An 18,321-nucleotide genomic window follows, 5' to 3' on the forward strand; every position below is an offset into this window, starting at 1 on the left:
CGCAATGGCTCATGCCTGTAATCCCAGTACCTTGGGAGACCAAGGAGGACAGATCGAGTCACTTGATGTCAGGAGTTTGAGACCAGCCTGGCCAACATGGTGAAAGCCCGTCTCTACTAAAAATACAAAAATCAGCCAGGCCTGGTGGTGGGCACCTGTAATCCCAGCTACTCAGGATGCTGAGGCAGGAGAATCGCTTGAACCCGGGAGGCAGAGGTTGCAGTGAGCCAAGACTGCGCCACTACACTCCAGCCTGGACAACAGAGAAAGACCATGTCTCAAAAAAAAAAAAAAATTAAAAGTAAATAAAATCATTCCTTTTCATTTCTGCTTTATTAATTGACAGAGTAGGTCTTTGCTTTTGGCCACTATTTTCTCCTTCACATAATTAATAATCTGTAAAACATATATTCAAGTGCACTAAAAATCGTGCTATTTTAACGAGCCCTTAAAGGATCCTGTTTTTAAATGACAGCTTAAAAAGCAGAAGCTTCATTTCATTTTCTTTTTAGATCTCAAAGTTATACTAATTAAGTGATATTCAATTAGGATAACACTCTATTGAAGTAAATATGTCATATTAAAATAGATTTTCTTTTTCTATATACTCCATAATTTGATACCTTATGGTTATTTTGTATAATTTTAAACAATATGGTTATATGATTTTTTTACTTAAATGTCCTCTCTTAAAAGACATCAAAGAATTTAGAGGCCGGGGCATGGTTGCTCACGCCTGTAATCCCAGCACTTTGGGAGGCCAAGGCAGGCAGATCATGAGGTCAGGAGATCGAGACCATTCTGGCCAACATGGTGAAACCCCATCTCTACTAAAAATACAAAAATTAGCCAGGTGTGGTGGTGCGCGCCTGTAATCTCAGTTACTCAGGAGGCTGAGGCAGGAGAATCGCTTGAACCCGGGAGGTTGCAGTGAGCTGAGATCGCGCCACTGCACTCCAGCCTGGCAACAGAGCGAGACTTCAGTCTCACACACACACACACACACACACACACACACACACAATTTAGGAGCATGCTCAGCACTGACATGGATTTTTTTTTTCTTTCTTTTTTTTTTTTTTTTTTGCACCAAAGGCGTATCCTAGCTTTATTAAAGGGCCCGCGCCACGGAGTCAATATAAAAACACAAAAAGTCCCATCAGTTTAATAACAATAAAAAAACCCAAAAGTGGAAAACTGAGGGGGCAGGGGAAGAGACCCCTGGGCCAGGGGCACGAGGAGCCCTGCTCATGGCACCAGGCCTGGCCGCAGGGTCCCCCGGTATTGCTGTTGCTACGAGGTTGGGGGGCAGCGATTGTCCTGTGGGAACCACCGTTCTCCTGGGTCGGGGACCCTCACTTCTTCTGGGGTGTGCTCAGCTTCTGCATGCCCCGGATCTTGTCCAGCAGACCAGAAATGAAGGCCTCTGTGGGTTTGTAACAGTCAACCAGCAGCTCCTTGACCGTGGCAGCCCGGGCATCGTCACTCTCCATGTCCAGGAGCTCATCCACGTCAATCTCCAGTTCTGGGATCTCCTCTTCCTGGCAGTCGTAGAGGCGCGTGAGCTGCTCCAGGATCCACTCCTCTAGGTTGAGGCGCTTCCGTAGCTCCTTGCGGTCATACTTGACGGTGACCTTCCCTTGGCGCCTCACTGGGCCCTCATCGTCCGCGCCGCCCGGGCCCTCTCCTGCGGTCCCGGGGGGGGCTCTGAAAGTAGACGCGTGGTCCTGGGCCGCCACTGCCCGGCCCGGGGGCCGGGGTCGCCAACGCCGCGCCCCCCGCGGTGCCGCTGTCCGCCATGGCGGCCGCCGGGGCCACGTGCGCGCATCGGGCCCCTCCCTGCGCCACCGCCTCCGGGACGCCCCCGGCTGGCTGGGGTTAGCTCGCCGCGGCGAGGGCAGCGGCGGGGGTGCCCGAGGGCAGCTGCAGCATGCGGAGCCCCCGGGCCTGGCCTGGCCGCGCCCCCTGACATGGATTTCTATACCACAACTCACCTCCATTTTTCACAGGCCTCATATTTTAATGTTTAATTCCCAGTAAATGAGAGTTTCAGGAAAGATTCATAATTGCAAATCATATTTCATTAATCCCAAGATACACATTTTTTCACATTTGACATCTCTGAAATCAGTACCTATCTTAAAGTTGATAGTCTCTTAAAAGTTTATATTTGGCAGCATTTTTTCCTTTAGTGGTATAAAAATAATGTTTCTTACCATTGATAGCATCTCAGGCTAAATGGAATAGTTTTTTGTTGTTGTTTTTGTTTTGTTTTGTTTTGTTTTTTGAGACGGAGTCTGTCTGTTGTCCAGGCTGGAGTGCAGTGGCGCCATCTCAGTTCACTGCAACCTCCACCTCCTGGGTTCAAGCGATTCTCTTGCCTCAGCCTCCCCAGTTGCTGGGATTACAGGCGTCCACCACCACGCCTGGCTAATTTCTTGTATTTTTTAGTACAGATGGGGTTTTGCCAAGTTGGCCAGGCTGGTCTTGGACTCCTGACCTCGGCTTCCCAAAGTGCTGGGATTACAGGCTTGAGCCACTATACCTGGCTGATAGTTATTAAAGTATTAAAATCTTTTATCTAATAATACTGTCTGATCTAAATCACAGTACAATTACAATTCAAACAATTCTAGAGTAAAAGCTAAATGAACTTAAGATTCACATTTTACCATTTTAGAAAACTTAGGGCTAGGCTAACCTCAAGAAAATAAATAATTGGGGGAAAAAAACACTTATTAAAAATTTAGGAAAAGATGTAGATTAGAAGCAAAACCAACAGAAATGACAAAAAAAAAAAATGACTTAAAGACGTTCAGTCAATAGTAGCTTCCAAGGAAGTAGAGGCATGAAATAGCCCCAGAGCTTTATCTATAAAAAGAAACAAATATTAAGAATATGGCAAGGGATAATTCAGCAAACTATCTTGGAGGAAAAATATTATCGTATTACTTCTCCTTCCTTAAGGAGGAATCATTGTCACCCTTTAAACAAAAATATGGTAAAGGTAGATGAAATAATTTTAATGAAATATAAAATTACAAACATTCTTAATAAATTAAAAACCAACCTACCAGCATTGTCTTCCTTCTGGCTCAATCTGTTTCACCTTCAGGTAATCCTAGGATAGGGGCTCGTTTTCAGATCCCCAGTTTTTCATGTCGATCTTCTACCTCCCTGTGGCAACAATATTTTCTAATTAAAGGAGTCCTTTTGTGCCACAGGGAGGATTTCTGATGGTATAACAAATACAAAAGTTATGACAGCTCATCATGAAGTCAAATTAGTCCTGAGATTCTTCAAGAAAGAAATTTGGCTCCTTATCTTATTTTTCATGAAGGAAATCTGGTTTTATTTTTTAAACTGCATTTTAAAAACCTAAACTTTCATTTTTATTTTTAAAAAGCACTGCTTTCTCGTTGAATTATATAAAAATTCTCATCATCATCCATCTTTTCAACTAATGTTTAAACACAATTTTGTTGATCACTAAAAATGGTTTAAGTTTTCTTGATAATTAACTAATAAGACTAAATGTTAATGTCTTGATACGTGGTTAAGGAGCAAAGTCCTGTCCCCAGTGGTCAGAAGACAGAAGTAGGAAGCTACCAACCAGACCACTTGACAGCCAATGTTTATTAAAATTAGCAAAGATTAATCAGTCTGCTTGTATTATATAATATTTTACGATTAAAATGCATTTTTTAAAAGACTAAAAGGAAATGTTTTTTTAAAAAGCAACAATCATTGTCTCCTTGTTGGTAAGATTAGGGGTGATGATTTTCAGTTTGCTTATTCTTTGCAATACTTTCCAATTTTTTCCATTAAGCATGTATTGCTTTTAAGAAAAAAATCAGGCCTGTAATCCCAGCACTTTGGGAGGCTGAGGCAGGCAGATCGCATGAGGCCAGGAGTTCGAGATCAGCCTGTACAACAAGGAGAAACCCCGTCTCTATCAAAAACACAAAAATTAGCCACATAGGTGTGGTGAGTGCCTGTAATCCCAGCTACTGAGGAGACTGAGGCACAAGAATTGCTTGAACCCAAGAGGCAGAGGTTGCAGTGCCACTGCACTCTAGCCTAGGCAAGAGAGTGAGCCGGGCACAGTGGCTCACGCCTGTAATCCCAGCACTTTGGGAGGCCGAAGCAGGCAGATCACAAGGTCAAGAGATCAAGACCATCCTGGCCAACCAACATGGTAAAACCCCGTCTCTACTAAAAATACAAAAATTAGCTGGGCATAGTGGCACACACCTGTAGTCCCAGCCACTTGGGAGGCTGAGGCAGGAGAATCACTTGAACCCGGGAGGCGGAGGTTGCAGTGAGCCGAGATCACACCACCGCACTCCAGCCTGGGTGACAGAGTGAGATTCCACCTCAAAAAAAAAAAAAGAAAAATCAAATTATTAGATATAAGCAAGAATGATGGATACCAACTGTGATTTTTAAAATGAGACTTAAGTATGACTTTACATAGATGGTTCTTGATTATACTACAATACTAACTCAGAACTCAATCTGTTTCCATTTGTATTTTCCAGCTAGTTATTATATGTTCAACAGTATATTTAACAAAAGAAAAAAGTATGGTCTCCGTCTTCAAGGTGCTTATACACTCACTGGGAAAACAATAGGAGTATATACAACAAAAATAATATAAGCAATAATAGATAAAAATAATAAAATAATACAAGAAAGTACCTATATCCAGATGGTATAACAGATCAGGTAAGGGGATGTTTATTGTAGACCACAATCATTGTGGAAATCTTCATGTAGTTGGGCCTTAAAAGATGGCTAATACCTACCTGAGCACATTATAGATAGGAGGAAACTGTCTTTGAGCAAACACTCAGAAGCATAAATAGTACAATCCATGCAAAGGTCAACAAGAAAAATAACTAGGAGAATACAGTGTTTCAGCAGATAAGGCAGCCAGATTATGAAGGATTACTTCTGGATGATTCTATGGGTCACTGAATTTGACAGAAGAGTGGCCACCGAAATCTGATAAAGAGCTTCAGTAGAATGATAAATGGAGATGCCAGAGCACAATAATCAAGGAAGGAATGACAAGGAAAAAGTATAAACTGAAGGTATAAAGCATTTGTTTTTTTTTTTTTAAGTGGAAGCAAAAGGAAGGAGAAAACAAGAGACATAAACAAAGTTAAACAAATATTCCATTCTAATGTATAAAAGTCCTGTCTATACTTGAAGTCACAGGGAAGGTGCTAATGAAGTTAAAGAAACTCTGTCACAAGCACTGTGCTTTATGTATTTATTTTATGTAATCTTCACAACCCTGAATTCCTATTTTCTGACAGTGAAACACTCTGAAAAGGTTAAATACTGCCAAGTAAGTGATAAAGGGGAAATTTGAAAATCAGAACTAACTAACCCAAGTCAATATTCTTCCCTTTCCTACTAAAGAGAGCTACTTAAAGGGCAAAAAAACAAAACAAAACAAAACTCAGAAATAGTCGCCCAGGATTTTCTATCATATTTGACTACTCTTTGATTCTTCTCCACTCTTTAAAATGTAAACATTCTCTAAGGTTAATTCCTTAATTCTATGTCCTTTGTTCTCCATCACAGAGAGACAAATATAGAATTTACGTATCTCCTTCCTTGGGAAAAATCTATGAAATACGTTTCCCCTCGGAAATTTATTTCCACGGCTTTAAATGAGGATGATTCCCAAATCAGTTTCTCCCTGACCTTTCTTTACTAAGCTTTAGTTGTACTAGATATCTTCCATTTGCCCCTCCAGATTTATTCTCCACCCTTCTTCACCTTGCTCTCTGTCCCTGGAGACTGACTTCATCAACGGGATTCCTATGGCTTCAGACTGAGTTTGGTCAATGGCGTACCTTAGCAGGATATTATTGGGAAGAGGTATTGCCCTCCAGCTAGCTGTGTCCTTTGATCAAAGGTTTCAGAATCTCCCAAGGTGACTCCCTGTTCAGGGCTCTATTCTTCAGGATTCTGGTCACCCTTCCTTCCCCTTGGCCCATGAGCCAAAGGACAGAAACAGCAATTATTGCTAGGTCTGCAGTACTGCCCTGTCTCTTACGGGTACCTTATATTTGCCTACATGTTTGTAACTAGCCCTTTATTAAAACATTCCTTAAATTATCCTAATTTTAGCATGCCATCTCTTTTGTGATGGGATCTTGACTACACATTTGTGCATCTTTTTTGTTTATCTGATTGTTTGTTTTTGAGATGGAGTTTCTGTTGCCCAGGCTGGAGTGCAGTGGCATGATCTCAGCTCACTGCAACCTCCACCTCCCGGTTCAGGCAATTCTCTTGCCTCAGCCTCCTGAGTAGCTGGGATTACAGGCGTGCACCACCACACCCAGCTAATTTTTGTATTTTTAGTAGAGATGGGGTTTCACCACATTGGGCAGGCTGCTCTCGAACTTCTGACCTTAAGTGATCCGCCTGCCTTGGCCTCCCAAAGTGCTGGGATTACAGGCATGAGCCACTGCACTCGGCCACATTTGTGCATCTTTAAATACCTAAATATTCATCTTTAAAGTTCTGCTTCAACTCAAAATCATCATGACTATTACCAAACTTATCTGCTTCATCAGTCTTGCCTTCCTCAAATCATATGTGCTACCATCACCATGAACAAGCGTCAAAAAGCAGAATATTTTACCTAACTGTGCCTCTCCCCTTATATGTCATGTAAGATAATATATAGTAATATGGTTTATACAAGCCCTTTCTGTTCCTGTTGCTACTACCTTGTTTTAATATTTCTCAAGCCATCCTTCAACTCATACTACAATAGCTAGTCTTCCTGTCTCATCTTTCCCCCTACAATTAATCCTATATCCAACTGAAATACTAATTGCATGGTACTTTCTTTTTAGAGACATGGCTCACTCTGTCACTCGGGCTGGAGCGCAGTGGTACTACAATCATAGCTCACCTGTAACCTCAAACTCTAATCTCAAAGGATTCTCTGGCCTCAGACTCTCAAGTAGCTAGGACTACAGGTGCACGCCACCATACCCAGCTAATTTTTAAATTTTTTTTTTAAGAGATGGAGTCTCACTATGTTGCCCAGGCTGGTCTTGAATTCCTGGCCTCAAGAGATCCTCCCACCTCTGCCTCTGCCTCCCAAGGTACTGGCCCCCTAGTATTTCCTACTTAAAACCTTCCAAATCTTTCTGCTTCCTTATGAGCCTAATTACTAACTCTTGAGATTTAATTCACAACCTAGTCATAGCACTTAATGAAATCTCCTGCCAATGTCTTATTTACTCAAGATCTTCTGAACAAGTATTGAATTTCAATAGTCTACCCATTTATTAATTATATTTCCCTCAGTTTACAATGCATTTCACCTACCTCCTATTTGTCCACCTAGATCCTATCATGTGTCCTTTACTTTCTCTAAAACATTCCCTAATCCTGTAAATTGAACTTCCCTCTTCAGAAAATTCCTTTGAATTTGTAAATAACGCTCATTTGGCTATTGACTGCTTTGTATTTTGAATATAACACAGATTTTTTTTTTTTTTTTTTTTTTTTTTTTTTTGAGACGGAGTCTTGCTCTGTCGCCCAGGCTGGAGTGCAGTGGCGCGATCTCGGCTCACTGCAAGCTCCGCCTCCCGGGTTCACGCCATTCTCCTGCCTCAGCCTCCCGAGTAGCTGGGACTACAGGCGCCCGCTACCACGCCCGGCTAATTTTTTGTATTTTTAGTAGAGACGGGGTTTCACCGTGTTAGCCAGGATGGTCTCGATCTCCTGACCTCGTGATTCACCCGCCTTGGCCTCCGAAAGTGCTGGGATTACAGGTGTGAACCACCATGCCCAGCCTAGTCTGGTCTTAAAAGATTTCTATCAACACTTATTTATTATTGAGTTCATTGGTATAAACGTGGTGCTTGTTAAATGGTAATTTGTAACAACCTTTTAAATTTATATTATATATAATTTTTATAATTTTTTAAAGTGAACATAAAAACTGTACTTTCAAACTCCTGTAGTGAATCCAAAAAACTCCTTCCCTCCCCTCATTCACCATACCAGTCTATCCAGCAGGCCCCTAGAACTGATGGAGTCTGCAGCCACTGGGGAAGATATGTTATACCTGCCAGAGTCAAGACCACCCTTCACCTATATTTCATCACTCTTCCTCAAAGTCTCTTTATAATTACTAATCTGCCATTGTTATCACAAGCAATTTACTATATGTTTAGATGAATATGCCTATTTTTAAAGTTTCAAAATAGAATTGGTTTCTCCTATACAATTTAAGAGAACATCAGTATTACACATAACCTCTGTGAGGGAAACGTAGACTGTTAATCTACAAAAAGGAGAAACAAACAGCTCGTAATTCCTACTAACAAAAGAGAAATTCTTTTATATGCAAAATAATAAAGATGGCTACATGCAAATCATAATATGATTTTAGTACTCCAACACAAATGACAATAGAACACTGTTTATGATATGGACACATACATATGGGTATTTAGGAATAAAAGGGTAAAAACACTCCAATGAGAACATGCAGAGAACTGTCAGAACAAGCCAATAAATATAACATCTTTTAGACTGACATAATCTAAATTATAATGTAGGAGCATTCTGTGAAGTTTTCCTAGACATACACAGGGAAGTATTCTATACAGATCTCAATTCCCCCAATTCACCAAATAAAATCTGCCATCTTATAAGCATTCCTTTTCTTCCCAGTCAGCTTCTTCTTTAAAACCTACATGTATCTGTAATCTGAGTTTCAATTTTACATTATAAGAAATGAACCTAATCCTAATTCACTACCTAAAAGGAAATATGCATACCAATCTTTATTCATTTGTATATGCCCTAGATATCAGAAGAATGAAAACTTATTCAGATTTTAACTCATTTAAAAATGCATTTGATTCTTTTTTTAGTTTTTGTTTTGTTTTGTTTTGTTTGAGACAGAGTCTCGCTATGTCCCCCAGCCTGGAGTGCAGTAGCACTATCTTGGTTCACCACAACCTCCACCTCCTGAGTTCAAGCGAGTCTCCTGCCTCAGCCTCCCAAGTATCTGGGACTACAGACGCATGCCACCACGCCCAGCTAATTTTTTGTATTTTTAGTAGAGATGGGATTTCGCCGTGTTAGCCAGGATGGTCTCGATCTCTTGACTTCGTGATCCACCCACCTCGGCCTCCCAAAGTGCTGGGATCACAGGTGTGAGCTACCACGCTCGGCCTGATTCTTAATAGAAACAATATTAAGCTCAGATTAGCTGACTTGAAAACTAATCTATGAATATTAACAATCTTTATAAAGTTACATTAAAATCCATGAGCCAGGCTGGGCACGCTGGCTTGTGCCTATAATCCCAGCACTTTGGGAGGCCGAGGCGGGCAGATCACGAAGTCAAGAAATCGAGACCATCCTGGCCAACATGGTGAAACCCTGTCTCTACTAAAAAATACAAAAATTAGCTGGGCGTGGTGGTGTGCACCTGTAGTCCCAGCTACTGGGGAGGCTGAGGCAGGAGAATCATTTGAACCCGGGAGGCAGGGGTTACAGTGAGCCGAGATTGCACCACTGCACTTCAGCCTGGCGACAGAGCGAGACTCTGTCTCAAAAAAAAAAAAAAAATCCGTGAGCCAGGATGGAACATGTACAATGAATTTTTGAGGTGCTTTTATACCATTTTAGAATGATATAAGTAATATGCTTACATTTTCTTTTTGTGTTGAAGTAAATTTTAAAATTATCAAATATTCAAAAACCACTTACAAAAAAAACAAATCACAAAAGTAACTTATTTTACCTAGACTTCCCATATCCTCCTTTTCACAATCACTAATATCTCTGCCCAGCAAATGATATCATTACCCTCAGAGTTCAAGAAGACTAAGAAAATAAAATCCCTTAAGTAGATTACATTCGCTTCCTATTCTGAATTGGTTTTACTTGAATTAATCTAAATTAATAAAACATTTACAGTCAATTATACCAATAATAAGATTCAACCAATCTGCTCTGGTATTTTAATGTGATAAACATCCTAATTTACTAACTTATGCAAATTTGGTGCTATAGTTTTTATCTTTTTTAAAGTTTCCAACTTGCTATCAAAATCATAGTTTTCCTTATTTTTTGACCAAAACACCATCCAGAAATTTCAAACAGGTTCTACTTTTTTCCATTCAACTTAAGCTACCATACTTTTTTCTTCTGCTATTAGTGTTCTGTTTAGTTATGCTCTTGTAATAAAATCAGTTACAATATATAATCCAAAACATCATCCTACAAAATACTTTTAACTGTTCTACCTATCCTTTTCCTCAAGAAGAAAATTCAACTCTGCCACTATACTTCTAGCTTCAGACTGGAAAATTCTCCAAACTCTCATAAAAAGATATGCACTATATACTGTAAATCAGATACCACTCCAGACTACAGTCACGAAGCCCATATGAAGTCCTTGGATGCCTGGTTTTTTGTTTATTTGTTTAGAAATGGGGTCTTGCTATGTTGCCCAGGCTGAACTTGAGCTCCTGACCTTGAGCGAGCCACCTGCCCCAGTCTCCCAAGTAGCTGGGAGTACAGATGCACACCACCACACCCAGCTTGGCTGCCTATTTTGATAAATGAATTTTCCATTATACCTGAGGTTTGCTAGCACTGCAATCATCAGTGCTCTGAAAAGCAAGGTAACTTTCAATCCCTTAGCTCCACAAAAAATAAAATTAGAGGAAGAACAGTTTTATGCTGGAAGAGGCTAGTAGCCCTAAGGGGTACTACTGGACCTCATAAGAAGAAATACATCACATACTCAAAATTTTAATCATGAAAGTTTCCTACATTTATAAAAATGTATCAAAATAGTAAAGAATTTTTACTAGGATTAAACAACAAGTATAATGATTCTTTTTCTCCATTAACAGCTAAAGATGATACATTTGCATGTTTATTATTATGTAAGAGTCACTACAATCCTTCTGATAAAATACTCTATTTTCTTCATAATCAATGGCAAAAACTAAAAGATTTCTCTAAGAATTATAGATACTAATCTCCAATTAAACATATAGCTATCTCACCAGAAATAGACTGAAATACTAAGATCTCTAAGACGACAAAAAGCAAAGAGGAAACTGATAGAACACTACAATGATGCTTCTGATATTAATGAAAAGAAATCTTATTGCTCCATCAATATTAACTCAAAGAAACTCATAATCAATTAGACAATGATAGAATACCATTTTTTTTAATTTAAAAAGCTGTCCTCATAATACTAGCCTATTGACTTGTATAAATAACAGCTAGGATTTATACTCTCAGAAAAAAAATAATAAAATAACTTTATCATTATGTGAAGCTGTAATTTTGTGCATAGAGTCCATGATATGAGACTGTTACACCTCATAGAATTATACAATAGAAGTTTTATATCTACACAAATTCCCTTAAACATAGATGTTTCACTGGTTTCCAAGCTATACTAAATAGCATTAAAAAGGTTTTTCAGTATATTTTTCATCTGGCAATAGTATTGTTGAAGCTTACAAAATGAGAAAGTTATAAATAATGAACATTTTATGAGATGTCTACCTGTTTCCACATTCTCGGTCTCAACTTCTTGTTCTTCTGCCACATCTTGCATCATATAAGTCTCATCATCATAAACCAGAACCTGGGCTGCATAGCCCTGCTCTAATCTGGCACTTGGAACTGGCTCCACAATCACTGCTGGATATTCAGAAACCTTTTCACTTTCCTATAAGAGCAAATTTAAAGAACAATCAACCTTTGTATTTACAAATTCTGAATTCACTTATAAATCCTTGAACTAATACAGTCTCGAGCAGTCCACATAATGAGTTTCAAATATTATAAATATGAATGTAAAAGCCAAAACAAGAGATGAAAAGGGCTAACTTTAATAATCCTTTCAAGTCTCAAGAGGTAAGACATAGATTAAACATTTTAAATAATCTGTGCTTTAGGATTAAGTTGGCAGATTAAAAACATGCATATAATTTCACTTAATTATGAAAGCTGACTAAAACAACAGTAAAAGACTCTTTTATACCTAAACCCACAAGGACAAGAGGTGAGAGCAACAAACAAGAAGAGGTAAGAACAACAAAATCCTGGAAGACTGAAAGTGTCTGGATGAGTATGGAGTGGGTTAGCAGACCCAGCAAAGCCAAATCAGTCTGGCAGCAAAAAAAAAAAAAAAAAAAAAATCTGAGAAACAACACACTGTACAGTGTAGAGAATCTACAGAAAGCAACACCAATTACATGCACTTTTGATTCCTAGACCTTCTCTCTCCTTCATGATGCTAAGCAACCAGACCTCCTCCACCTCAGCAGAAGACAGGTTACTTTCCAGAGAGGAACAACAATAGCATCTTTGAGGCATAATAGGCACAGTTGTTAGCATCATACTCTACCCAAAATGGAGTGTCCAACTAGCTTTTTAGTCCATCACTTTTAGTCATGAACAAAAAGCCAAATATTCATATTCCACACACAGAGAAGATATTATAAAGTAAGAACAGATCACAATTCAGTAAAGAACATTTTAAAATACAAGTAAAAGAATTTTTGGAAATTAAAGATACAATAGCTGAAATGAATACAGGCTTGGAAGATAAAATTGAGGCAATCTCCAGGAACCAGAGGAAAAAAGATAAAGCAATAGAAAACAGGAGAGAAAAGATGGCAATATTAGATGACCAACCAGTCCAGGAGGTCCACTATCTGAATAACAGAGTTCCAAAAAAATAAATCATAAGGAAAAAACAAGAAATAGAAAGGAAAAAAAAAAAAGGTTTGGAAAGAAATCAACAAGAAAGAAGTAAATCAATAAAATTTTCTAAGACTGAAGGATATAAGCCACCCATTTGAAAGGACCCACCAAGTGTCTAGTACAAAAAATTAAGGAACACATACATTGAGGCATATCACTGTGAAATATCATAATATTGGGAACAGAAAAGATTCTACAAGCTTCTAGAAAGAAAACACAGGTTACTACAAAGAATCAGGACACAGACTTCAGTCTTCTCAACAGTCATACTAGAAGGAAGATGACAGTTGAGCAATTTCTTCAAAATTATGAAGAAAAATTACTTCCAATCTAGGATTCTTCACCCAGTCAAATCATCTTATAGAAGTAGAATAAAGGTATCTTCTCAGACATGAAAGATCTCAAACATTTACCTTTCATGTTTCCTTTCTCAAGAAGATACTGGAGAATGTATCCCATCAATAAGAGAGAGTGAATTTTTTAAAAAAGAGAACTATTGCAAATACAGGATAGAAGAGATCAACATAGGAGAGAAACAATGGGAATCTTCAGGAAGACTGTGAAGAGAGATTCCACGATGCTAGCTATGCACCAGATTTAAAGGGCAACCAGTCCAAAATATAGCAGTGTGACTCCTGAGATAGCATGATGAACTGTCATTACTACGATAACCATTGACCTTGTTCCTAAGGACAGAATGTCCAGATCAGTCTGTTCTAGATTTTTATTGACATTTGGCTTACCTTCATGTACCTACTCACTCCACCTGCCCTGCTGCCTGGATCAGCTAAGAACACATTTCACCCCCCAGATGTGTTCTGCTTTGATCTACTATGTGTTGGAGGAAGATTACCATGGGCTTAAAATAAAAGATACAGAACAGCGTTCTTCATGTGACCATATACCTCCTGAACAAATATGCAATACCCAGCCCATACCATACTGTAGCACTGCCAGATACCAGAGCAGGATGTGCCTTACATTTCTAAAAACTCATGGCATTGCTCACTGACTACTTGAAGACAAGCTCATGACACTCAGTGAACCTGACTATTCAGCTATCTTCTCCTGGAAGCCTTCATCTATCTATGATAATATTGCCCTTTCCTAACTCAATTAGCTTGGTAAACTATTTTTTCAAAATAAAATATTGTTTAGGACTATTTTCATAGGTGGCAAAACTATAAAGAAAAGTAAAGAAATTATAATACATAAGTCAAAACAATAGCACCTCTGGAAACAGCGCCCAGCCGGGTTTTAATATTTCAGTGATTCCTTCTCTTTGACCATAAAAAAGCTAAAATCATTTTGCATTAAAAAATTCAGGGTTCATGCCTGTAATCCCAGCACTTTTGGAGGCTGAGGTGGGCAGATCACCTGAGGTCAGGTGTTCGAGACCAACCTGGCCAATACAGTAAAACCCCATCCCTACTAAAAATACGAAAATTAGCCAGGCATGGTTGCATGCGCCTGTAATCCCAGCTACTTGGGAGGCTGAGGCATGAGAATTGCTTGAACCCGGGAGGCAAAGGTTGCAGTGAGACAGGATCACACCACTGCATTCCAGCCTGGCTGACAGAATGAGACTCGGTCTCAAAAAAAAAAAAAAAAAAATTCAGACCAGGTTCAGCGGCTCACACCTGTAATCCCAAAACTTTGGGAGGCCAAGGCAGGAGGACTGCTTGAGCCCAGGAGTTCAAGACCAGCCTGGGCAACATAGGGAGACCCTATCTCTAGAAAAAATAAAAAATAAATATCAGCCGGGCGTTGTGGCTCTTGCCTATAGTCCTAGCTACTTGGGAGGCTGAGGCAAGAGGATTGCTTGAACCCAGTAGGTGAAGGCTGCAGTGAGCCATAATCATGCCTTTGCACTCCAGCCTGGCAACTGAGAACAAGTCTCAAAAATTAAAAAAAAAAAGAAAAATATTAAACTCTCATTTCTTTTAACTGAACTTTTAACTGATCTTTAACTGAAGTTAAAAGGCAACAAGTCCAATTAAAGAAGTTCTTTAACTGAACTTTAACTGATCGATCGAGACGTATACTTGTATACATTTCTCAAAAAAATAGTCTAACTCCTTGACTTATCTATATATTCCTTGTAATCTATGTTCCACCACCTCACTGAAGCTATTCTCTAAAAATATTTTTTTGCTTTTTTTTTTTTTTTGAGACAGGGTCTAGCTCTGTCGCCCAGGTTGGAGTGCAGTGGCACAATCATGGCTCACCGCAACCTCTGCCTCCCAGGCTCAAACCATCCTCCCACCTCAGCCTCCTGAGTAGCTGGGACTACAGGCATGTGCCACCACTCCCAGCTAATTTGTGTATTTTTGGTAGAGACAGGGTTTCACCATGTTGCCCAGGCTGGTCTTGAACTCCTGGACTCGAGCAATCCACTTGCCTCAGCCTCCCAAAGTGCTGGCATTACAAGCATGGGCCACCATACCCAGCCTCAAAATGTTAATAACGACCAAATTCTATTTCAGTTTTCAATCTCTACTGCCTCCCCGCAGACTCATACATTTATTATTACCCTCATTTAAAAAATTCATTCTTCCAACTTTCTCTACCACTCTACTTTCTTTTTTGAAATGGAGTTTCGCTCGTTGCCCAGGCTGGAGTGCAATGGCGCAATCTTGACACACCGCAACCTCTGCCTCCCAGGTTCAAGTGATTCTCCTGCCTCAGCCCCCTGAGTAGCTGGGATTACAGGCATGTGCCACCATGTCCAGCTAATTTTGTATTTTTAGTAGAGACAGGGTTTCTTCATGGTGGTCAGGCTAGTCTCAAACTCCTGACCTCAGGTGATCCGCCCGCCTCAGCCTCCCAAAGTGCTGGGATGACAGGCATGAGCGACTACCCCCGGCCTACCACTCTACTTTCAAGCGTCTCCTCTGACTCTTCTTTCATCTCCATAGACTCAAGTCTAGCCAACTTAGTGAGGTTCTATCCTCAGTGTCTCCTTTCTTTTTGCCCTATACTACCTTCTCAAGTAAGCCCACCCATTCTTATGGTTTCAAATAGCACCTCTATGCTGATAATGACTAAGTATTTGTCCTCTACTCTGACTCATCTTCTGAATTCCAAAACCAAATTTTAAACTACCAACTTTAACATCACTACAGGAATACTCAGTCAACACTTCAAGCTTAACATGTCTAAATGGCACAAATTATCTACATCTGTCCCTGTTTCCCCATTCTGTGTTCTTTAAATCTTGGTTTCTTCATATTTAAAAAAGAGATTTTAATATTTCTGTCCTTTAAAGTCCCATGACTTTATATGCACAAAGTTCTTAGCATAGTATAAGTACAAAGCACAGAGTAAGTTATTCAATTAGTGACAGCTGATATTATATTTTAACAATAGAAATAGTCTTCAAATCTACTATTTGCCCTCAACTTTAGAGGGCACCTTTTCACATCACAATCAGAACTGTTTGTGTTACTTCCTTGCATAAAAAGCATTAATGACTCCCCTTTGGTCTAAAAGGAAAGTTTAACAAATTAAACAATGGCTTTAACACTCTGAAATATAACCCCAACCCACCTGTCATGGGCTGAATTGTGTCCCCCAAAAAGATGAAGTTTTAACCCCTAGCTTCTGTGAATGTGACCTTATCTGGAAATAAGGTCTTTGCAGATGATCAAGTTAAGACAAGATAATTAAGATGAGCCCTCACCCAATCTGACTATGTCCTTACAAAAGGGAAATTTGGACTCTGAGACACACAAATGGGAAGGAAAACCATGGAAAGACACAGGGAGAACACCATCTACAAGCCAAGGAGTGCCTGAGGCTACCAGAAGCTAGGAGAGAGGCATTAAAGAGATTCTCCCTCCTAGCCCTCAAAAAAAAACAAACAACAATAAAAAAAAAATCTATCAACACCTTGATTCCTAAATTCTGACCTCCAGAACTGTAACACAATAAATTTCTGTTGTTTAAGCAACCTAGTTTACAGTACTTTGTTACAGCAACCCCAAGAAACTAATATACCACCTTTATATCTTATTTCCCTACATTACTTAACATAAATTGATTAGTGGCATTGCTTCTAATTCCTAAATGTGAACATTTCCAAGACTTTTGCTCATGTTATTTTGTAGCCTTCACATCTGTCCAAATCCTTTTCATCTACTGAAGGCTTTTCATCAAGTTCCAGGGAATCTTCTATAATCCTCCAATCTGAATTAATTTTTCTATCCTACGTATTTATAGAACAAGTTGTTTGCCTAATATTACCACTGTTCATTGTCCCATATTATAATTATGTGTTTACATATACAACTCCTTGACTGGTTAGTAGGATATTTGAGAGCAAGAGTTATATCGTAGTCAATTTTTATATCCTCCTTAATAACACATGCTTCATATAAACTAAAGTGGCATTTAAGTACAGATATTTGTAGCTTGGCTCAAAGAATAATAAAGTCAACAAATTTTAATATTAACAGGTATTTATAAGTTCAACATTTGCTCATCTATGGAGGCAAGTAACTTCATGAGCCTTTTTTCTGCCATATGATACAGACCAGAGGACACTGCATGCAGCTATTCAGATAATTATTGCCTTGTACTGTGTAGAAGAGTAGCTATTTTTATGGGAGAAAGGGGATGGAAGAGAAGAAACCAGGAGTCTTTGCTTAAAAATAAAATAGCAAAAAATAACACATGTACAAGGTTATTTTACTTAGCATTACTTTGCTCAAGTCACCATGGGTCTTGGCACAAGCTGTCTAATTCCCTACAAGCTAGGGTGCAAATAAAAAAATACAGGATACCCAGTTAAATTTGAATTTCAGAGAAACACTGAATAATAACTGTAAGAATGTCCCATGCAATATTTGGGACATACTTAAAGTAAAAAGTCATTTGTTGTTTATCTGAAATTCAAATTTAACTAGACATCCTGTATTTTATCTGGCAACCCTACTGTAAGTATTAACAGTGATCTCAAAAACTTCCATTTAAGGAGAGAGATTCTTAGTTTAAAGAGGCAAGACAAGTGCAATGCTGCAGTGTTTACCTAGAAAGTGCTTTTATATGCACTCAGTCATTGCTCTCCAGGTATCAGAAGTTTCCAAAGACAAGTACAATGAAATGGCTGAAAGCAGTGGTATTGTAATCCTTTTCTCAATGTACTTTAGGAATATATAGAAAGATAATAAAATTCAGGAGTATGTGAAAAGTACATAAATTTGTTCCACATTTTCTCTTTCGAGGTAGAGTAAGGTTACCTTAAAAAATCTTATCAAAACTGAAAAATGCCGTTTGGCAGGCTTTAGGGAGGACTCATCTCCCCTACCTCTCATGGTTTAACCCCAGAAACCACTCCAAATAAATACGTCACTAGAATAAATAATGGTGCACTTGCTATGCAAACCCAGTTTTAAGACAAGTCCCCTAAGCTAGATGTTCATAATGCCAAAAAAAAAAAAAAGAGATAGAAAACATACACCCATACTAACAAACATCCATACAATGAGAGACTATTCAATATCAATTAAGCAATTAAGGCAGTTA

The 18,321-nt window shown here is 39.0% G+C and overlaps 1 protein-coding gene and 1 pseudogene across 18 annotated transcripts in view; both read right to left on the reverse strand.

Moving 5' to 3' along the window:
• ELF2 (E74 like ETS transcription factor 2) overlaps nt 1–18,321 on the reverse strand; it is a 120,696-nt gene that overhangs the window by 56,355 nt on the left and 46,020 nt on the right. For 14 of the 18 annotated variants that reach the window (XM_047449740.1, XM_047449741.1, XM_047449737.1 and 11 more), the window contains one exon: nt 11,590–11,755. In XM_047449740.1, the coding sequence (XP_047305696.1) occupies nt 11,590–11,755 (166 nt within the window). Of the gene's footprint in view, nt 1–3,074; nt 3,234–11,589; nt 11,756–18,321 lie in introns of those variants that run through there. The other 4 variants (NM_001371337.1, NM_001371338.1, NM_001371339.1 and 1 more) reach the window with 3 other exon arrangements.
• Nucleotides 1,159–1,965, reverse strand: PPP1R14BP3 (protein phosphatase 1 regulatory inhibitor subunit 14B pseudogene 3; annotated as a pseudogene).

Source organism: Homo sapiens, chromosome 4, assembly GCF_000001405.40.
Source record: "Homo sapiens chromosome 4, GRCh38.p14 Primary Assembly".
In the NCBI taxonomy this organism is placed as follows: Eukaryota; Metazoa; Chordata; class Mammalia; order Primates; family Hominidae; genus Homo; species Homo sapiens.